Consider the following 24,271-nt stretch of genomic DNA (forward strand, 5'->3'; position numbering starts at 1 on the left):
TTGAGAATATTTAGATGCATTTAAGTATTTAGCATTCTGTGATGTTGGTTTTTTTTTAACATTACTTTCTCCTTAGAAATCAAAAAATTATATACATTCAATGAGATGTCATTCTATAATACTATTTGCAAATATGTCATGCAGCCAATTTTATTTTCTGGATATCAGCAGAAATTACTGGTCCTGAGAGTGATTCTCTTTTGTTAAACTTGGTCTTAAGTATGTTTCTAATAAGATGGATGTTGTTATCAAGGAAACCATTGTATTCTTACTATTTTACTCACTGCATCCCTACTCAGGTCCCTGCATTCTTTGACTTCCACAACAGAAATAAGTGTGGGCTCACACATTATTTTCTATAATTTAAAAGACCCAATAAAAGTTATATATTTAGCTGTCATAGGACAACACAAACTACTGTCTAGCAAATGCAGTTTGTTGTGCCAAAAAAAACCCCTCTTAAAGCACAAGTTTATGAGAGAAACAAATAATGGTAAAAGGGTACTTTTTTGGAGGAAAAGCTTGGGAAAACAACATTTTATGCTATTTAAAATTCATGCTAACAAACAAAAATCAATAGCTTGACAGACTCAAAGTTCAAATCAACAGGAGAGGTGATTTAAGTTACATCTATCTACATTTAGGGCATTTGGCAATTTAGTATCTCTGTTTCCAATAAAGGTCAGTAAAATTCCTTTTCCAAATTAAAAAACAAGATTAGGAAAGAAAAGAGACTATTGACTGAACTATAAACTCTTGCACATGTTTCTAAGAAATGGGGAATTAATAAAACCTTCTTAAAATTTAATGAAATATTATATTTAATAGAGAAAAGGGCACTAACTCAAAATTCAACCAGTCTCTTTTCCTGAATTCAATTCACACATAGAAACTAAATAATATGAGACTGTGCATTAAGGAAAGATCATGTGAAATGCTTTGAAAAGGTACATTGCCCGATGTATACATTTTTTACACTATTTATCTATATTTCTTGTCTTCCATTAGCAAGCAGGACAGGATGTACAAACATAAAGATATATTAATATGTTCTGATCACCATCAGTGCAGGTAACTAATAACTATCTGTCCTTGGACAAAAAATGACTCTGATTATACATCAAAGATAACTGAATATCTGTTGATCTAACAGTAGATCTCTCAATTGTATTCCACTCCTGGTGAAAGGTGAGATTTACCTAAACAGAAATAACCATAAAAGCTGAATTTGGTCTATTCTTCCTAATGTTCTTTGCATCCTTTAACACTTTCTGCAGTCGCCACTGGAGCTGTATAGCAGCAAATCAAATTCAATGGACTGTATACGAAAAAAAATCAGCAGATCAGAAATTTATATAGAATTCTCCACTTCTACTTTGTAATATATTACTCATTGCTCTTTCAACTTGGTTTCACCTTGGTTTCCAGTCTTCATCCCATATCCATAGAAAGGTAACGTAATTTGAATGTTTACCCTGCCTCTTATGGTACATTCCTAAAAAAACACTGCATTGGCTCCTTGTGTGTGGACAATGTGTACCTCAATCCACAGGAACTCAGACATGAAATTTCCAGCACAAACAACATTATTTAGTAGGTTAATTCCAGTTCCAGATGAGTACCCAGCCCAGGAATGGAATGGTTTTAATTTGTAAGAGGAAAATACCAAACCGGCTATAACTCTTCTCCATTCAGTTTCAGGTACTCACTGCCACTAATCTGAGTCAACTTTGGTTATTTTGATAACTAGTCTTGCATGAGCTGTTCAATCTTAAAAGTTTTGGCATGGGCATATAGAAGTTTTCTTATTTTAATAGAGGAGTAGTTTGTATCAGCATAACCACCCCGCAGATACTAACTATAAACTCTGGACAAAACAGGAAAAAAAATCACTAATTTTGACTTTTCTTCACAGGTCAGGTCATTAAACCCTGTGGGAGTCAAACTATAGAGTTTGTGGCAGTCATTATAACTGGAAAGTAAGGGACAAACCCCCAGATGAGAAAGCCACAAGAGGAAAGCACAAAAACATAAAGTGGACACCTGAACCATGTGCATAGGAGAGATTGCAGGAAGCCCTCTGTAAATACCAGTTGAAAATCTGAAAGAAATAAGTGGATATTTTAACTCCTGCCCTCCACAGAGGAGACAAAAATGGAGACTGAGGCCAGCTAAGTTGTCTTTCTGTTAGAACAAAATCAATATTTTTTTTCAGAAATAAATAACCTAAGGTCTCTATAGCATATCATACATACTACTAACATTAAAAAGACGGACAATGCCAAGTCTTGGTGAGAATGTTGTGCAGCTAGAAGTCTCATACACTGATAAATGGATTATAAAGTGAAGCAACCACTTTGGAGAACAGTTTTGTAGTTTCCTAAAAAGTTGAACATACAACTACCATATGACTCAGCCACTCCCTTGCTATGTATTTACAGAAGAGAAAAATATATATGTGTACATACAAAATTTGTAAACAAATGTCCATAGAAGTTTTACCGTAATAACCCCCAAATCAGAAATGTTCCAAATGTCTATCAACAGGTGAATGGATAAATTGTGGCATATCCATACACACAAAAACATAGATGAACATCAAGATAAAAATGCTGAGTGAAAAAAGATAAAGAATAATATACTGTATGATTTTATATATACATGTGTACACACACATACACACTCACGCACACATTTCATATATTTCTAGATAATACAAAACAACCCATAGTGGGGGAAAAAAGCAGATTTGTAATTCCTTGGGGAAGCAGAGCAGTGGATGGATGGATAGACTGATAGATTACAAAGAATCATATAGAAAGAAAACAAAGGTAGTAGATATGATGAGTAGATATTATGTTGATTGTGGTGATAGTTTTATATGTGTTTATATGTATATATTAGAATACCATAAATATGTGCAGTTTATTGAATGTCAATTACACTTCAATAAAGTTATAAACGATTACTACAAACATCATAAAAAATATATAAGGACTGAAATTAATTAAGTATAAAACAGAGAAACAATGGATACAATTAAGAAAGCCAGAAATTTATTCCTTGAAAATATTTATAACATGTCTAAATATATAGGAAGTTTGATTTTAAAAGAAAGAGAGCAAATACAAATAACCATTATCAGGAATAACAAACAAGATTCTGCAGGCACTCTAAGGATGGTAAGAAAATATTATAAACAGTTTTATGCCAATAAATTCTACCATTTATATGAAATAGAACATGTTTTAAACACCATTTACCAAAACTCTTTCAAAAAGGAATAACCAAAAAAGGTCTCAACAAAACATAGGAGATGGTCTTTACCATCAAGGAGTATGAAAAGATTTTTTAGTCTGGAAACAGAAAATTAAAAAAAATAAAAGAAAAAATGATAAATTAGACTTAATTGACAATAAAACTTACACTTATCAAAAGACATTATTAAGAAAATGAGTAGTCAAGCCACAGACTGGGAGAAAATACTTGCATAACATATATCTGACAATGGATTTATATCCAGGATATATTTTAAAACTCCTGCAACTCAATAATAGAAAGACAAACAACTTAATTTAAAAGGGAAAAAGACTTGAACAAGCATTTCATATAAGAAGATATAAAAATGGCCCAAAAGCCCATGGAAAATTGCTCAATAACATTGATCATTAGGGAAATGCCAATTAAAAGCATAGTGAGATAGTGCTACTAGAATGACCAAAATTAAAAAGATTAACAACTTTAAGTGTTGGCAAAAATGTAAAGTAATCAAAATTTTTGTATGTTGCTGAGGGTATAAAAAAATAAAGCCATGCTGGAGTACTGTTTGGCAGTTTTTGAAATAATTTTGAACATTCACCAATAACCCAACAATTCTCTTCCTAAAGTTTTCCCAAAAGAAATAAAACTTACCCTTTAAATACTGGCACAGATTATTCACAGCAGATTTATTCAAAGTAGCCAAACACAGGAAATAATATAAATGTCCATCAACAAGGGAGCGGAAAAATAAATTGTAGAATATTCATATGATGGAATAGTACTCAACAATGAAAAATGACTCATATACACTATCTCACAGATACTATGTTAAGTAAAAGAAGCTGGACACAAAAGAGTGCATACTGTATGGCTCCATTTCATGAAGTTCTAGAAAAAGGAAACTAGAGGGGAAAATATCACATCACTGGTATACTAGGGAGGGTGTAATCATGTGGTAAGGTCTAGAAAAATAACATTTTTGGATGATAAAAATATTTTCATCTTCATAGAGGTATGAATTACATGATTCAACTGATTTATCAAAACTTATTACATTATACTCTATAGAGTTATGCATTTCATTTTATATGAACCTTACCTGAAAAAAACTGGAAACAAAAATAAATGAATAAATACAAGAGTAGGTCTTACATCGTGAAGACAATAAATATACATCTGTGAATGATTAAAACTGTCATGATGCTATGCAAATGGATACCTGTAGCTTAGGATAAGCTATTCAATGACCACACTACCCATGGATTAACTGTGCTACTTCTCAAACTGGACAGAAGTGGAAATGATGCAATATGACCAATGTAATTGATTCAAAACATGCTTCCTAGAAAGACACCAATTTTGTAGATGTGAAGAGTTTGAAGAATTGTTTCATGAGATATAAGTAGAAAAAAATATTTGCAAGCATCTATATAAACTTATTCACCCTGCATCTTCTTAAATAAGAAAATAATTCAAATGTTTCTAGAAAGGGTAAGGCTGTGTGCTGCAATTATCCAATTTTATGACAGGTCAACCTTGAGTATTCATTTTCCTAAGAATCTATCTTTAGAGACATTTCCCAGGAGAAAAATTTTAAAAGTGGGATTTTTTTTTCTCTGATCTTCAGTCTCTTTCTTCTCCAGTCATACTGGCATGAGAGATGGAGGCAGAGCTCATCCCTTCCCCACTTCTGATGTTTTCCCTTCCTGCTAGAGCAATGATGTTTCAGCATGTTTCACACCTGAGTCCCTGCGGACTGCGCATCACTCAGGGAAAGCTCTGGCCCAAGAGGTAAGCATCACCCCAGAAGTCTGTCTGAACTGAATAAAGCATATCCTGATGCTCTAGCTGGAGGTTTACAAGTGGTCCCTCCCAGTGGACATGCTTCTTACATTCACCACCACTCTCAGGGCAATTTTCTATTTGGCATTAGTCTGCTACATGACGAAAGGTACTAATCTGCATAATTACCTAAAATTCTTTGGCACCACTGGATAACTGCTGTTACCATCCTCCTGACACACTAATGCTGCATCCAAACATAAATGGGACCTGCGTCTGTCATATGCCTCTGGTAGAGGCAGGAGGAGGCCCTAGGTGAGATGCTTTTCAGACTCCCTTGCTTAGCAGGAATTTGGTGATACCTGTGCTGTCTATGATGGTCTCCTACCCAAGTAGTAGATGGAGCATTAAAGGCTTTCCCCCTTTCCTTATATGAGAATGCAAACTAATCCCTTCACCAAGAATTGGCTAATAAATATTAACTCATGTTCATTCATACCTACATGCCTTCAGTGTCTGACCTCCCTGAATCTATGCCAGCACCAGGTGCATTTGTTTCCAAAGTACCACCTTTATCAGGAAGACATATATCCATTCCTGTGAAATTGCACAAATATACCACCCTAAAACACTGGAGAATCTTGTCCCAGGGCTTCATAAAATCTTGTCCCAGAACTTCTCACTCCACCTGAAAGTGCCCCTCATCATGCCTTCTCATTGCCCTTCTCTCTGGGAGGGTGGATGCATCAGCCACTCCCCTTCAGTCCAACCCATTTCAGGCTTGTTTTACAACTAAGAAAAGCTGACTGCTCCGTAACATCTGAACCCATGGCCTTGCAAGCTGAACAAACTGATCTAAGATGATTATGCTACCACACCATTAAATAATGCAAAACTCACTGATCTACAAAACATGATTTATGCATTGGGAAGTAGGAGCCTCAGCATGAGCAATCTAAATCTCTCTTTAATTATACTTGATATTACAAAGAAAGAAAAGATATTTTTCCCTTTTTAACATAAGAAAAAATGTTATTCTAAAAGAACAAAGTTGATTTTTTCTCCTAACAAATGTAGTTTTGCAATTTCTATAGAAAATCAAAGTAACTATTTGTAATCATCCACTATTCATAGTCTAGGAAAAGCTTTAATAAGAAAAGGCAAAAAGCAATCATTATTACATGCTAACTTGTACTTCCTAACTCCCTTTCCCTTTGAACCTTCATTATAAACCTAACAAATCTGAAACTCTATAGAATTTATACTGATCTCTCTCCTTCTGTGTGATTGATGGTCATGAACTTGACATTTCCTGTTCTGATTTCTCTCAGGAAGAAAGAATGTTTGTAGCATTTGATTCATAAGTTTCATAGAGAACAAGCACTATCTGTGCAAGCTTCTGTGGTTCAGGTAGTGATGATTAATCTCTAGATAAGAATGAAAACATGGCACATAGAGGAAGCCAAACTAGTTATTTCTTGCTCAAAATAAGTAACTATAATGAATAAGCAAGAAGCAACACACTTTGACATAAATAAGCTTCTGCTTTTTATTCCCCCAAAAGGAATATTTGGCCATTTACATGACGAGGTAATTGTCCCTTAAATATATGATTTTCAATTCTTATTTACAAACCAATGAATTCGACCTGAAATAAAACAGACTATAATATAACCAGATGATGAAGATTTGAAATGTGACTGCTTCATAGAAATTCATTTATTTATTCATTCAAAGAATAGGTATTGATTGCTAATAATTTATATGGCACTATTCTAAGCACTTAAATTTACAGGGAAAAACAGAAACAATAAGAAAGCTTTCAGTGCATATGATGGAAATTTCTAAAACCCTCAGAAAAGACGGCTAGGTTATGAAGAATAAAGTCTAGGCCCTACTGGCCAAACTTTAATAGATTATGTAATCTATACTTTAATTCCTTCATCACAAAATGGTTTAATAATTTATTTGATATACACCTCTGAGGAATTTACATATTTCAAAAAGAAATACAAATCTGTATAATTATACAATGAAGTGACTTACAAGATATCATAATAAATGAGATACAGAGCAACTAGAATTCTTACACTGCTAATGGTGGTGCAAATTGTTACCACCTCTTAGAAAACAAATGGTAATTATCTTGCAAAATTGAACATAAGCAGTCTGTACAACCTAGCTGCAGCAGAACTCACTAACAGAACCAATAAATATTTATGCTCCATTTCTATAGTGTACATGTGTGGTTGGGAAACTGCTGTCCAGCCAGAAACTAGGTTTCCCAGCTTTCTCACATCTAGTCAGGATCATGAGATTACTTCCAGCCAATTGAGTGTGAACAGAATCTGTAAGTGTCATTTCTGAGCCAAAGTGGTGATCTTCTGTGTCTTCTTCAGGATGTCTTCCAAGGTTACTATAACACCAAGTGCTGAGGATTTTAGCAGCACAATTTGTGGCAATCTGTCCAAGAGAATCAATTAACCAGGAATATTCACATGGGGTTTGCAGTGAGTTAGAAGCAATGTTTGTAGCGTTAAGTTAGTGAGATTTTGCAATAGTTTCTATCAGCAGCTGATCTACCCTAAGATACACTGAGCAATTCCATTCTTAGCTTTGCCTCTGAGAAGCTCTTGTGTATGTGAAGGAGAAGACATGTTGAAGAATATTTATAGTAATATTGTTTGTAATAGCCAAAATATGAAAAAAATTTAAATGCTCTTTATAAGAAAATAGATAAATAATTGTCATGTATTTATATAAAATTCTATACGGTAGTGGAAATACATGAATTCATTCAAATGCATCACCTTGGATGAAAAAAGAAGATAAATGTTGAGCGAAAAACTTTGTTGAAGAATAGATACAGTATAATTCCATTTAAAAAACATTCAAAAACATGCAAAACTAAACAAAATTTAGAGGTACATCCAAATGTAGTGAATTATAAAGAAAAAAGGTAGAATAATGAACACAACATTATGAAAGTAGTTATAACTGAGAGGAGAGAAAATGAACAGAATTGGGAAGAGGCACACAAAGGACTTGGGAGTCAATGGTAACATTCTTTCTGAATTCCCTCTGTAATCAGGTCATAGAACTTAATCTTAGCATCTTGGAGTTCACCTAACTTTTTCTCAGGTTGTATCCAAGCTGCTGGAGGCTCATATCATCCCAGAGTCTTAGAAGGGGCACCTCTGATCTCCATGGTTATGAACAGCTATGCATTGCCCTGCTGAGATTTCCTTATTCTTCGGTGGTTCCCAACTGCCAGCCACATGGATCCCTTTGAATCATTCCTCATTGCTACTGCAAGGTGTCAGATTGGGCTCTGTTCCTCACATTTTAGTCCCATTCCTCGGTGCAGTGAAATCATTAGCTGTTCCCGTAAGATATGAGGCTATCTAAAGTTTTGTGTTTCTTTTAGGAGTTGGAAGTCTAACTCTGCCTCACTGCATTCTTTTTCTATAGTTATGAGTTATCTCAGGGCCCAGACTTTTGAAACAATAAAACTCTTTTTCTCATTTTTTGTTGTAACACCTATTCCTGAAAATGTCACACAATCTAGCTCCTGTGAATGGGGAGAAAGATCAAGGTAAAAGAATGTGTGAATATTTCCAAATAGTATCCCATCAGAGTTGTTTCGATGGTGTGATTGTATTAATGAGACAATACTCCTTGTGAGGAACAAACATTTCCCCAAGCCACATTCTGGAGATGAACGGTGAAGGGCCATGTGAAGACACATTGACAGTAACTGAAAAGGAAAAGATGTTTAAGTTTCTAAGCAGCTCTGCAGATGGGATTTTTATCAATCTCTCTATCTTGCCTCTCATAAACTCCTTTATTATTTCTACTCTCTTCTTCATGTTTGTACCAACTTTTATAACTGCTGATTATACAGTTTTATACAAATTCTCTGCTCAAAATTTTTAGACGGAACCAATCTGATTGATTTAAGAAATTTCTCCATTGAGTAATGCTCTTCCATATTTGACCAATACAGTCAATTATCTACATTTAGACTCCTCTTTGTCTGGATATGCCTTTGTTAAACCAGTGGGCACCCTGCCACAAAGAGCAGCCCAACACTGCACATTTTCTGAATAAATAGGAAGTATAGTTTCAGGTAGACCGAGAGAAAATTATTTTAGGTACCATGTCAAGGGCCGCAGACAGATCATGAAATCAAGAGTAGATGAATGAGACTAAGTTTAGACAAGGTGACATGGATCCATTTCTCCCTGCTCCTTTCTGCTAAGCACAAGTATAATCCCTTTGATAATATGAGGAGCAACTAAAGGAAGCCCTGAAAGGTGGTATGAAGAAAGCAAGATGGTTTAGGGACCTGGGATTAGAGGAATTACACAGCAACAGGTACATAAATCCATTCCAAGCAACAAACGAGGATAAATCAGACCCATTATTTCCTGAATTCCAACTTTCCAACGGAAGGCAGCTCATGAAGTTTCATTCTTTTGTGAAATTTAATAGAAATCCCTTTAACATCAGGTTAGCCTGACAATACTTACAAATAGAATTGACCAGGCAACCATAAGTGGCTTCCAGGGTAATTATAGAACTAACAGTACAATAACAAAAAGAAATAATTCTGAACTGGGAGGCAGAGCTTGCGGTGAGCCGAGATTGTGCCATTGCACTCCAGCCTGGGCCAAAGGGCAAGACTCCATCTCAACAACAACAAAAAAATACAAAAAAAACCCCCACAAATAATTCACTGGATGGACTCAGTAGTACAGTGGATATGAAAGAGCATAGAATCAATAAACGTGAAAACAGATTAATAGAATTCACCCCATCTGAAAAATACAGAGAAAACAGACTAAAAAGATAAACAGAGCCTCAGAGACCTGTGGGTCCATAATGAAAGATACAAATTTCATATCATTGGAATCTAGGAAGGAAGGAGAGCAAGACTGAAAGAATATTTGAAGAAACAATGGCTCAAAACTTCTCACATTTGGTAAAAGCATGAACAGATGCTTCATGCTTGAACAGATGCTTCATGCTTGAACAGATGAACAGATTCAAGAAGCTAAGGAATTCCAAACAAGATAAATGCAAAGAAATCCATACTACCACAATAAGCTTCTGAAAACTAAAGACAAAACATCTCAAAAGGAAATATTGTCCACATGGAACATCAGTTTGTGTGACAAAGGATTACTTATCTAAAACCATGGAGGCCAGAAGAAAGTAGGACTGCTCCTGACTTCTCTTAGGAAGAAAAATTGTTTGTAGTATTTGACTCATAAGTTTCACAAGGCAACAAGCACTATCTGTACAAGCCTCTGTGGTTCAGGTAGTGATAACTAATCCCTAGGTAAGAATGAAAACATGGCACATAGAGGAAGCCAAACAAGTTATTTCTTGCACAAAATAAATAACTATACTGAATAAGCGAGAAGAAACACACCTCTTAGCAATGTGTTTTAGGTGCTGAAAGAAAATAACTTTCAAATGCAACTTCTATATCCAGAAAATTATCCTTTATAAATTAAAGAAAAATAAAGTCATCTCAGATGAAGAAAAACTAGAATTTTTTTCCTAGCAGACCTACCCTTAAAGACTGGCTAATGCATATACTTCAGATATAAAGGAAATCATCTAAAAAAAGAATCCTAGAGTATCAGGAAGGAAGAAGTAACAACAGAAAGAGAAGAAATAGTATATATAAAAAACTATCATTCCCCCTCATCAATTTTATAAATCACATTTGATAATTGAAACAAAAATTATAATACCATCTGATGCTCAAGACAGTTACAGTCAGTCTTCTGTATTTGTGGGTTCCTTATCCATGAATTCAACCAAACAAGAATCAAAAATATTTGCGGGAAAAAAAAGGATGGTTGTGTCTATACTGAACATATAAAGACTTTTTTCTTGTCATTATTCACTAAATAATATAGTATAACAAGTATTTATATAGTATTTACATTGTATTTTGCATTAAGTTATCTGGAGATGATTTAAAGTCGACAGGAGAATGTGCAAAGGTTATATGCAAATACTAAACCACTTTACATAAGGGATTTGAGTGTCCATGGATTTTTATATCTGCAGGGGCAGTCCTGGAACAAATCCCCTACAGACACCAAGGAACAACTCTATATTTAGAAGTGAGGAAACTAAAGGGACTTAATTAGAAATAAATTTCTCACATTTCATTTGAAGTGATAAAATGTTGCTACTAGTAGACCATGGTAAGTCACATATGTATATTGCAATACCCAAAGCAACCACTAAGGAAACTATACAAAGAGTTATACTCAAAAGTACCTTTAATAACAATAATTACCTTGAATGTAAATAATCTAAATATACTGAGCAAAGATCAGATATTGGAAAAGTGAAAAAATTAAACAAACCATGACCCAACTATATACTATTGATAGAAAACTCACTTCAAATTAAATGACACAGGTAGGTTGAAAGTAAGGGGATGGAAAAGACCTAGCATTCGAACATGAAATTTTTTGAAAAGAAAGAAAGCACGGTTATATTAATGTCTGATAAAATAGAATTCGAAGCAAAGAAAATTGCTAGAGAGAAAAAAGGGCATTATATGATGGTGAAAAGATCAATGTACTGGAAACATGCAGTGAAGCTAAATGTGTGCACACCAAACAAAAGACTTTCAAAATACATGAAGCAAAAACGGGTGAAACTGAAAAAAGAAACAGACAATTTTATAATCATAGTTGGTGAATGTGCACCAAGATACCATATCCTGACCCATAAAACAAATATCAATAAAGTTAAAATAATTTAAATCATATGCAATCTATTTTATTATAGGAATTCTTCATCAAAATTGAGTTGCACTAACAAATCTTGCTATAGATTTTCCCAAATGGTCACAAAAATATCTAGGAATAAAGAAAGATAATGACACTGAAATAATGACACTGAAAACCGAAATTGTTAGAAAATCTGTTTTCAGGTTCTGAGAGAAATTTGGACTAATTGCAAAACTAAAGGAGCTAGATTGGAAAACAAACCCCTCCCCACTTGTGCAGCCATGCTGGAAGAGAGAAAACTCTCTCTTTTTTATTTTTTATTTTTTCAGAAGGAGACTTTATTTCTCTGTCAATCTCTGTTTCCTGGTTTAGAAAAACTGGGGGGATTTCTTGGCTCAGTCACCGCAAAACTTGTCAAATATCTGTATACTTGGTGTGTTCTCATTTTTGAGACAAGCAAAAATATTTTTCTTCATTCCTATATGAGTTACATTTTGCCCCCATAACAAATTATCTCAGAATTTAGCATCTTAAAATAACAATCATTTCTCATCTCACACAGTTTTTGAGTGTCAGGAATCTAGGAGTGGCTCACCTGGATGGTTTTGGTTCAGCATCTCTCATCAGATTACAGTCAACGGGTCAGCCAGGGCATCAGTTATCTCAAAGCTTCACTGGTGCTGGTGAACCCACTCCTAAGCTCACTCGAGTGGCTGCTGGCAAGCTTCTATTCCTTATCAAAGGCGTTTCTCCATAGGCTGCCTGAGTGTCTTCAAGATGCCACAATTGGCCTCAACCCTAATGAGAATCCAGGAAAGAGAGAGAAGAGAGGGAAAAAATATTCAAGATGGAAACTTTAGTAATCTCAGAAATTACATCCCATTTTTTCTGCTATATGTTATCTACTATATGAATCAATCCTTGTACAGTGTAGGAAGGGATTGCACAATGGGGTAAATACTAAGGAACAGGGAGTATTGGGGCTGCCCTGGAGGCAGAATACTACAATCCCTTATTAGTAACACTCTTTCTACAGCCAGTTAGAGCCTGTGATTCCCAATAAACAATGCGGAAGGAAGTGGAGAAGGGAGAAGAGGGATGATCATAGAACATTGCATCTTGAAAGCTATGGTTCTTCAAGTAAATGCTATCAGCAAACCCGAGAGAAGAGCCACAGCATTAGGTTTTTTGGTTTTGTTTTGTCTTTGTTTGTTTTTAATTCCAAGTCAGAATGTTAGGAAGCATCTTAAAGTTGGAAAATAAGAATACCTGTATCAGTGCAGCAAATCTGTGCCAGTTTATTTTCTGACAAACTTTAATAATTGCTTTAGGTACATAAATCCATCTCTAGCTGCAGTTCTGAGGTGGGAATTTGAGCACTAAAAAGAGTAATAGTGAATAGCGCTAAGGGTAGTCTACACACACTATCTTAATGGATTGACTTGATTTCTTTTCATGTCAAAAGGCATAAAATGTAAAATCAGCATGCACACTATGAAACTAGGCAGAAAATTCATGTTACAGAAATGTATTTTTAAATACTCAAAGTAAAAGCAAACATTTGAAAACGATTTAGTGCAGAAAAAATGTTTAGCAAATAGAATGCTATATAGCAATATACAGACTTTCTGAAAAACAACAAAAAAATCAAAATATATACAACAGACTATAATGAGAAGAACAAAGAATCTAATTAGCAGAGAGGTAAGATGGAAGGTAAGTTAAGAGTATAAGAAAACTAACAATAAAATATTAGAATTTCAGTGAAAATTGGAAGAAGAAAATAAAAGGATAGAAAGTGACAAAATAAAATGAATAAAAAGGAGGATAAGCTATGTAAGCTTTTTAGAATGTGAAAAAAGGAGAGAGTGGTGAATAGACAAGCAAGAAGAGAAATGTTATGCATATACAGATTTCTTCTTAGAATTATAGGTACACATTTGGCAAAAAGCCTTCTGAAGTATGTGGATGGGAAAGCTCCTAAATTGCTGCAATATTAACCAACAGAGATCCACATATGCAGATTTCTTCTCTGAGATGCTAAATGACAAAAGCAATCAAATAACGTCTACATGATTAGGAAGGGAATTATATCACAGCCATGTTCTTCCTCATATATGAAGACAAAGACATTCAGAGTTTTTCAGAAAACATACCACTGAAATAACCTTCCTGGAAAAAAAATGTTATCAAGATATAATCTATCTCCTGAACATATGTGATGAATAAACATGTGAAAATAAATGAATAAATAAAGAATAGTGTCAGAATTGGTTATTTTCCATCTTCCTGGAATCTATCATATAATAAAGTGAGGGTAAGGTAAAGTTTTGTTTTTGTTTTCTTACAACTCCAAAGAGACAGAAAGAGAAGTTAAATACACTCCTATTCAGGAGGTATGTTAAAGGAAGGTCAAACTTGATAGATAGAAAAGCCTGAGACCAATATCTTGAAGTTACTTCACTCAGAGGACCCATTCTTACCCCAGCCCTCCTTAGGCTCACAGAACCCAAAGACTACCTTCCACCTCCACCTTGGGATCCCTTCAGGAACACAGCCATATGCAACTCAATGATTATGAACTAGAACTGAAGGCCACAGCTAGAAGGCAAGACACTGAGGTGGGGAAAGGTTTTATTGCAACTGGGACCATGAGAAAAGGAGTTTCCAAGAAGAAAACGTTTCATAGTGACCCCAGTGAGGAGGCTACAACTCATGTCCCAACAGTCAAGAACACTGGGAGAGATTCTCCTGAAACACCGTGTCCTGTGGAGTTGCAGGTATTGGAAATAATTGTCATGGTACAGCGGCAGCTTTATTGTGATCCTGATGAAGACTAAGATTCAGGGCTTTTCATTTGCTTTGGGCCTGTGAATAGTGGGTACTGTTGGGAGTTATAGAAAGTTCTTGGAGGGAAGGGGCTGGGTGCGGTGGCTCACGCCTGTAATCCCGGAACTTTGGGAGGCTGAGGCAGGCGGATCACGAGGTTAGGAGATCGAGACCATCCTGGCTAACACGGTGAAACCCGATCTCTACTAAAAATACAAAAAATAAGCCGAGTGTGGTGGCAGGCGCCTGTAGTTCCAGCTACTCGGGAGGCTGAGGCAGGAGAATGGCATGAACCCGGGAGGCGGAGCTTGCAGTGAGCCAAGATGGCACCACTGCACTCCAGCCCGGGCAACAGAGTGAGACTCCGTCTCAAAAAAAAAAAGAAAAAAAAAAAAATTATTGGGGGGAAGGGAAGCCAGGATGGAGTCGGGAATATCTGTATAGGTATTTCTCATGAGTTTCCTAGAGACCTCAGAAAAAGGAATTTGAATCTCCAAGGCTCTAATATTTTACTGGGATTTCTTTTCTCATTCTAAACATATACTTTCATATCGAATTTTTCATTTTTAGGTTGTCTTCTTTATCTAAAGATGTTCTCAAAAACTCTGTAAGTTTCAGATATGTCATATGAAAAACATAATTTAGGAAACCCTGGAGAAAACTGGAACCAAAGTAAAAAGCTGTTCTGTACATTCTGCTGGCTTCACATGTGTGATTGACTGGTTACTTACTACCCACTCCACCATCTCTTATAATTTCAGCTGTTTTGAAAGTTGATGCTGTTATAGGTGCATTGGTATTCATAACTGCTACATCTTCATTGTGAATCATATCGCTTAACGTTATGTTATATTCTTCGTCTCATTTAAACCTATTTTGACCTTTAATTGTACCATGTCTCACACTAAGAACACAATCTATTTTCCTTTTATCTGCCTTTACTTCTCTTTTTATTTTTAACATTAAATCAGATTACTTTTGCTTTGTCTCCTGTGTATAGTACAGAGGTAGGTTTTTCTTTGTGATCTGATCTTTTCTTTTCCATGTGATTTAAATCAAGTTACCTTCATTGCTATGACAGATATGTTTGAATTCTTTCATAGTTTATTATATTATTTATTTTGTTTTTTAATTAATCAAATTTATGTTTTAGAGAAGTTCTAGAGTTGCAGAACAATTGAGCAGATAGTATAGTACAGAGGGTGCCCTTTTGTTTCTTCTTTCCCTGCACGCAGATTCCCCCATTATTAACATCTTGCATTGGTGTGGTATATTTGTTACAATTGATTAACCAGTATTGATACATTATTATTAACTGAAGTCCATAGTTTATATTTGGGTTCACTATTTGTGTTTTACAGTTAAATTGGTTTTTACAAATATGTAATTTCATGTATCCACCATTACAATATCATACAGAATAGTTTCACCAATCTAAAGTTTCATTATGCCTTATCTATTTATCCCTCCCTCTCTCCTCTCAAACCCCTGGTAACCACTGATATTTTTTACTGTCTCTTTAGTTTTATCTTTTCCAGAGTTCCATATAGTTAGAATCATAAAGTATATAGTCTTTTCAGATTGGCTTTTTCATTTAGTATTATGCATTTAAGTTTCCTCCATGTCTGTTCATGGCATGATAGTTCCTTTCTTTTTATTGTTGAGTTACCTGCTATACTCCAATCTCTGGATGTACCACGGTTTGTTTATGCATTCAGTTATTTTTTGCTGTTCTTTATTTTTGTTACGAGACAGGGTCTCACTCTGCCATCCAGGCTAGTGTACAGTGGCATGATCACAGCTCACTGCAGCCTTGACCTCCCTGGCCTCAAAGGATCCTCCCACCTCAGGCTCCCGAATTGCTTGGATTACAAGCATGAGCCACCATACCTAGCTAATTTTTTTTTAATTTTTTGTAGAGATGGGGTCTGGCTATGTTGCCTATGACTAGGTTGGTCTCGAACTCCTGGGCTCAGGCAATCTACCCACCTCGGCCTCCCAAAGTAATAGGATTACAGGCATGAGCCACCATGCCCAGCCCCATTCATTTATTAAAGGCCGTCTTGATTGCTTCCAATGTTTGGCAAATATAAGGAAATCGATTATAAAGATTTGTGTGGTGTTTATTCCATGACATAGTTTTCGACTCATTGGGTAAATATCTAGGAGCATAAATGCTAGATTATACAGTTAAATTATATTTCAGTTTGTATGGCTGGACATCTAGGATTTTTTAATCTCTCAAACTAGTCCATGCTCAGTCTCCAGCAATTAATCAATTACCATTTAAGTGCTGGCTTCAGATGTGGACTTCTGCTCCTTGGCCTTTGCTCCTGGGAAGCTGTGATTCTGAGTATCCGCCTTTCTTTTCAGTCGTCAAGGTGGCAATTTCCCCTATAAACTCAATTCTCTGCTCTAAGAAGAGTTGTTGATTTTCAGTTGTTCTTTTGTATTTTTATTTTTTCATCCTATTGTGAAGACAGATGAAATAACTTTCATGTTCTTTGTCAGACTGGAAGCTAGAAGTATCTTCTTTTTTATAAATATATGTATTTCACTGTGTTCTATAATCTTTGCTTTTTATTTCAGCTCTCTGGTATTTCAGAGATTTTGTATTTTTTTCTACTGGGTATTTTGTAATTTCACTTTTATAAAGTGCTCTTGGTGCTCTCTTTCCTTAGGTTCTATGTAGCTGTTCCCTACTATGGGCTACAATAAAATTAACTCCTATCTTCTACCCTCTGCTAGTAGCTTACTGCATACTTTTATGTACTTGTATTTGTGAATGTGTTGAAATTCCAAGGACTTCATTTGTCAGCCTTAGGTGATATTCTTTGACTCCAGCTATCACAGAAGATTCTGCCCTTTGTCTTCTCTTTCCTTTGCCTCCTGATTTTTGTTAGTCGTTTCATTTCTACATGAACTGAACATGTAATAAATCATTCCATTCTCTTATTCTTACCTTTTCTTTGAGTCTTACTTTTACATTTTAGTTTCATTTTTTTTTAGTCTTACTTTTCCATTTTACGGCTAATAACATGCATAGCTTCAACAATCCTTATTCTCAAGTCTCTCAGTCAGGACTTCATTGGCTGCAGATTCTCCTCTAGCACTGCATCCATTCAACTGAAGATTTCTGATTTAATGGCATAACAATTGTGGCAAATATACTTTTATTATCCTTGGAATATCTTCACATCTGTACATTTGTCGTTTTACATTGACTGTATTTGTCTTCATTCTGATGTTGTTAATCTTGCCAGAAGTTTATCAGTTTTACTAATATTTTCAATTAACCAGGGTTGGTTGGTTGGTTGATTGGTTGGTTGGTTGGTTGGTTTGGCATTGTTTTTCTCTTCATTTTATCTTTGTTTCTACTTCATTAATTCTTGTATTGTTTTTTCAGCTTTATTCCGTTGTTCTGACTCTAGTTTCTTCATATAAAAATTGATTAAAATATCAGGTCTGCAATGCATTTAGTCCTCCTGGCTGGAGGGGGAGACCCCACCATAAAAAAAAGAAGGTAGTCTTATCTCTCCTTGTAAATATACAAGTGACAGACTTGTATATTGTATACAGACTTGTCACTTGTATACAACTGACAGACTTCATACCAAATTAAATGGTTTTGTAGAAAGAAAGGCCTTATCTACAAAAGGCTCAGCAAGGTGTCCTTGGTTGTTTAGAATTGCTTAAAGAAACTTGAAATCTATAGATTTATAGGATGTGAAAGCTTGGGGAATATCATGTAAGCTACAACCATATGAGTATAAAGCAGAGATGGTTTATGACTTAAATAATTCCTTCAGTGTAGGTATTCTGGGCCAGAGAACTTTGGATGCAGAAAAAAAAAAAAAAAAAAAAAAGCCGGTAGCGGTGGCTCACACCTGTAATCCCAGCACTTTGGGAGGCCAAGGTGCGCAGATCACTTGAAGCCAGGATTTGAGATCAGCCTGGCCAACCTGGCAAAACCCCTTCTCTACTAAAAATACAAAAATTAGCTGTGCATGGTGGTGCACACCTGCAATCCCAGCTGCTAGAGAGGCTGAGGAGGAACATCACTTGAACCTGGGAGACAGATGTTGCAGTGAGCCGAGATCACTCCACTGCACTCCAGCCTGGGCAACAGAGGGAGACTCTGTCTCAAAATAAATAAATAAATAAATATTAATAAGTAAAGAAATAATAAAAGACTCAGAATGCCCAGCTAAGTGTTCTCGACCTCTCCATGATTTGACTGTATTCTTTATTTGTATTCTTGATATGATTAATAAAGCTTTATCTCTTATTCGTGGGAATCTTATTTGACAATCTAATTCTTTTTTAAAATAATCTCAATTCTTAGATACTTAACTTATTAAAGTTAAGCCTTTCATATTTTCTAATATACGCATTAAATGCTAACAGTTTTTCTCTACGTACCTTCTTAGCTGCCTTCTACAAGTTTTGATAAGTAATATTTTCATTGTTATTCAGTTCAAAATATTTTCTAATTTCCAACAATTTCTTTCTGACCCATGAGTGTTTTTCTAAATTCCCAAACAAAAATGATTTTCTAGTTACCTTCTTATTGCTGATAATAAACCTAATTGCATTGCTGTCAAAGAATGTAACTTTTGTGATACCAATATTTTCAAATTGGTCCAGTCTTGCTTTATGGTTAGCTGATAATTTTTTTTTTTTCTTTTTGAGATGGAGTCTTACTCTGTCGCCCAGGCTGAAGTGCAGTGGCATGATCTTGGCTCACTGCAACCTTTGCCTCCAGGGTTCAAGCGATTCTCCTGCCTCAGCCTCCTGAGTAGCTGGGATTACAGGCACATGCCACCACGCCCAGCTAATTTTTTGTATTTTTATTAGAGATGGGGTTTCACCATGATGGTTAGGCTGGTCTGGAACTCCTGACCTCGTGATCTGCCTGCCTTGGCCTCCCAAAGTGCTGGAATTACAGGCTTGAGCCAGCGCCTGGCCTAGGTGATAATTTTATTAATATTCAATGTATATTTTAGAGCAGAGATCAGCCAACTATGGCCCACAGTCTAAATCTAGCCAGACACCTGCTTCTGTAAATAAAGTTTTATTGAAACATAGCCACATATATTTATTTATGTATGGTTTTATTGTGGGATCTGGCCAGCAGCCCACAATGCAACGGGGCTCTCTCTTTGCTCCTAGGCGGATCGGCAGGTTGAGAAATAATAGACACACACAAGATAGTGAAAGCTGGGTACAGGGGGGTCACCGCCTTCTGGTCCCACGGTGCCAACAATGCACTGGATATACCAGCATTTATTATTAAGTTTAGTGAGGGCGGGGGTAGGTTAGTGAGGGATTTAGGGTCATTTGATTATGAGGTGAGATGGTCACATGGGGATGAAGTAATTCTTTAACATAACATTTGTATGTAGAAGTACAGTACATTTGTATGTAGTACAGTATACAGAGATAAGAATTTACAATATAGTGTGTGCGTCAGTAATTTCTAACAGAGCCTTAGAACAGAAACACAGTCTATCCATAACCTATGATTAGCAAGATATTAATCAGCAGTAACAATTGCAACAAAAGCTGGTTACAAACAATCCACGGAAACAGGACGTTAAGCTAGACAACTGGTTAGACCAGAAATTCTCAGAAGGGAGTATGCTTTAACCCTAAAGAGGCCTAGAAGAGCCGTGGCAAGATGAGGCCGTTTATAGCCCTATCTTATCCATATGGACAGGCGCCCCCCATGCATCCGTTTATAGGCTTTCCACAAGGGTCGCATTCCATTCCCAGAGCTATGAACGTCTGCTTTTCTGGGATAGGAATCTTGGTGATGTGAAACCTCCCTGACTGCACGTCCATTCATAGGCTCTCTGCAGGTGGAAGCACATCACGCACTGTTGGCTTGTTCTGGCAGTCCAACTTGGCATTGTCTTTACACAATCCTGCATGCAATTTTGTATTTACAATAATCAGGAGCATTTCATCTTTTATTCCATAGCAATAGTTTCAGGGGGTCTCCCTACATGGTCTGTGGCTGCTTTTACACTACAATGGTAGGATTGAGCAACCTATCAGAGACTGCATGTCCTGGAAAGCCTTTATCATCTGGTTTTTGCAGAGAAAGTGAGCTGAGTAATCCCAGCACTTTGGGAGGCCGAGGCGGGCCGATCACGAGGTCAGGAGATCGAGACCATCCTAGCTAACACGGTGAAACCCCGCCTGTACTAAAAATACAAAAAATTAGCTGGGCGTGGTGGTGGGCACCAGTAGTCCCAGCTACTCAGGAGGCTGAGGCAGGAGAGTGGCCAGAACTCGGGAGGCGGAGCTCGCAGTGAGCAGAGATCGCACCCCTGCACTCCAGCCTGGGCAACAGAGCGAGACTCTGTCTCAAAAAAACAAAAAAGAAAGTCTGCTGAGTCTTACTTTAGAAGAACATGTATTCTACTGTTTGGGGACAATGTTCTATGTATCCATTGGATAAAACTTCTATTAACTTTGAGTTATTTAAATAGTCAACATGCTCTTAGGGATTTTTTTTTCTGTCTTGATTTATCAATTACTGAGAGAAGTGTATCAAGATTTATTGCTATGGTGGTATATTTGTTAACTTAGCCTTACAATTCTATTAGTTTTGCTAGAGATAGATCCATAGATAGATTAAAAATCTGTTCTTAGGTAGACAGAAATTCAGAATAGTTACATTTTCCTGGTGACTTTATTTTGCAAATTTGAATATTAAATGGAATTCTATCTATATTAGTGGCCTTTTAATGGTTGGCATTTGCCAACTTGTTGGTTTAGTATTTGCCTGGTATGTATTTAATTACTTTTATTGTCAATTTTTTTTTTGTTTTTTGTTTTACATATATCTCTGTTGAACAGCAAAGAGCTAGGGTTTATTATTTATTCCAGAAAAATAATATGTGTATTTAGAATTTCTTCCATGGGCATTTAATATAGTTGCTATTATATTTAAATTTATTTCTATAAGCTTATATTGTGCTTTCTATTTGTCCCGGCTTTTGTATCTATTGACTCTTTTATTTCTCCTTTCTTGCCCTCTTTTGAATTGATTATATTCTAATTTTATTTTTCATCTTTAATAATTTAGAAATGACATGATATATACTTACTTTTAGTAATTATATTTAACCTAACAAAATCAAGTATCAATAAATATAATTGCTCTCCTAGAATCTCTCATTACAATCAGTTTCTTTTCCACTTAAACATTATTTTTCAATTTTAGTTCTATCATAATTTAACCTTCCTCCATAAAATTGGTATTATTGCTTATTACATGAGTTTATTTGATTTTAACCACATATTTCCACTTTTTTAGCTCGTTTATTATTACATTTCAAACTTTCAGTTGAGGCCACTTCAACTAAGAGAAAAACCAAGAGAACTTAAATAAACAAGATGGTGAATTTAAAAAGGATAAAATTTTAAAATCTGCTTATAACAAAACTTAAAAACAGTAGAATTATGTTTAAGCATTTGTTTAAAAGTCTAATAAAATAGACAAAGCTATTATCCAGAATAAAATTATGAAAAATTCCATTTACAAGGTATGACATAATTTGAAACACTACTGATCTACTTTACAGAAAAAAAAAAATTGATCACCAAAATCTACTGTAGAAGACATAGCAAAACCAAGTATATAAAGACCCATAAATAAAATGGAAGAAGTTAGCACAAAACTTTCTCTAAAATAGTACTATACTGAGCAAATCTAATATGTGAGTTATTAAAATACACCAAAAATCAAATAAATAATTCTTAGTGTATTATACAATCCCAGAGCATAGAAAAAGATGGAATGTTTAGAATATATATATATTTTTTTGTCTAGCAATGGGCTAAAGCCAAAATTTGACAGAGCATTAAGAAGAGAAAAACTGAGATTCTAGGCCATATTTATTTAAAAATTAACAAATTCAACTCAGCACTATACTAAAAGTTCTAACCTCCATATAAAATTTACCTGAGGAATTTATAGATAAATCCATATTGAGATATCTATTAGTTGATTTGTCATATCAAAAGGTAAAAAGAAATCACATTTATATGCTGAAAATCTATCTAAATTCATGAGCTATTCTTGATTTAAGGAAAAACCTCCTAGCAAATTAGGAACATTATTATACATCATTGATCTGATAAGTAATTTTTATTTTAAACCTGTGACCAATGGCATAGTTAGCTATAAGACATAAAAAGTATTTTTCTAAAAGTCAAGAATAAACAAAAATACTTTCCCCATTATTATGTACCATTATTTCTGGAAATTTCAGCCAATGTGACAAGACAAAGAAAAAAGAATAAGGAGTTGAGATATTGCCAACAGGAGATACAATTGTTATTTGCAAAATTTGCAACTCTGCCTATGGAAACACTAAGAAAAAACTGAAAGAGAAATATAACTTATAAGAAAAGTTTACTATTTGGCTAATCAGAAGATAATTAGGCCAAAAACATAGCTTTCTTATTTCATAGCAATCACCAGAGTGTATAGTTTACAAAACAGTTCTATTAACAAAAACAATAAAACATTAAACTAATGAAAGTTATATCTTAAATATTAAATATTTGAATGAAAAGTAATGTACCCAGGTGATATGATTTGGCTGTGTCCCCACTCAAATCTCATCTTGAATTCTAGCTCCCATAATTACCATGTGTTGTGGGAAGGACCCAATGGGAGATAACTGAATCATGAGGGCAGTTTCCCCCATACTGTTCTCATGGTAATGAATAAGTCTCACAAGATCTGATGGTTTTATAAGTGGAAACCCCTTTCATCTCACTCTCATTGTCTCTTGCCTGCCACCAAGTAAGATGTGCCTTTCACTTTCACCATGATTGTGAGGCCTCCCCAGCCATGTGGAACTGTGAGTTCATTAAACCTCTTTTTCTTTATAAATTATCCAGTCTCTGATATGTCTTTGTCAGCAACCTGAAAATGGACTAATACAGTAAATTGGTAGCAGTAGTGAGGAACTTCCGTAAAGATACCCAAAAATGTGGAAGTGAATTTGGAACTGGGTAACAGGCAGAGGTTAGAACAGTTTGTAAGGCTCAGAAGAAGATAGAAAAATGTGGGAAATTTGGAACTTCCTGGAGACGGAGGGCTCAGAAGACAGGAAGATGTAGAAAAGTTTGAAACTTTCTAGAGCTGTGTTTGGCTTTAACCAAAATGTTGATAATGATATGGACAATAAAATCCAAGCTGAGGTGGTCTTAGATGGAGATGAGGAACTCATTAGGAACTAGAGTAAAGGTCTTTGCTATGCAAAGAGACTGGTGGTATTTTGCCCCTGCCCTAGAGATCTATGGAACGTTGAACTTGAGATGATTTTAGGTATCTGGTGGAAGAAATTTCTAAGAACCAAAGCATTCAAGAGGTGACAAAGCATAAAAGTTTGGAAAGTTTGCAGCCTGATGATGCAATAGAAAAGAAAAATCCATTTTCTGGGGAGAAATTCAAGCTGGCTGCAGAAGTTTGCATAAGAAATGAGAAGCCAAATGCTAATCACCAAGACAAAAGGGAAAATGTCTCCAGGGCATGTCAGAAACCTTCAAGGCAACCACTCCCATCATAGGCCCAGAGGCCTAGAAGGAAAATAATGGTCTCATAGGGCAGG

The 24,271-nt window shown here is 35.4% G+C and overlaps 1 long non-coding RNA gene across 2 annotated transcripts; it reads right to left on the bottom strand.

Moving 5' to 3' along the window:
- Positions 1 to 3,034: 3,034 nt before the first annotated feature.
- LOC124901811 (uncharacterized) lies at positions 3,035 to 12,621 on the bottom strand. Of its 2 annotated transcripts, none has more exons than XR_007060640.1 (2): positions 12,403 to 12,621; positions 3,035 to 7,506 (listed from the first exon to the last, which is right to left on the bottom strand). It is a non-coding gene; the product is annotated as an uncharacterized LOC124901811 (long non-coding RNA). The 2 variants fall into 2 exon arrangements; XR_007060639.1 differs by having other exon boundaries at positions 3,035 to 8,800.
- Positions 12,622 to 24,271: the final 11,650 nt, after the last annotated feature.

Source organism: Homo sapiens, chromosome 7, assembly GCF_000001405.40.
Source record: "Homo sapiens chromosome 7, GRCh38.p14 Primary Assembly".
Classification (NCBI taxonomy): Eukaryota; Metazoa; Chordata; class Mammalia; order Primates; family Hominidae; genus Homo; species Homo sapiens.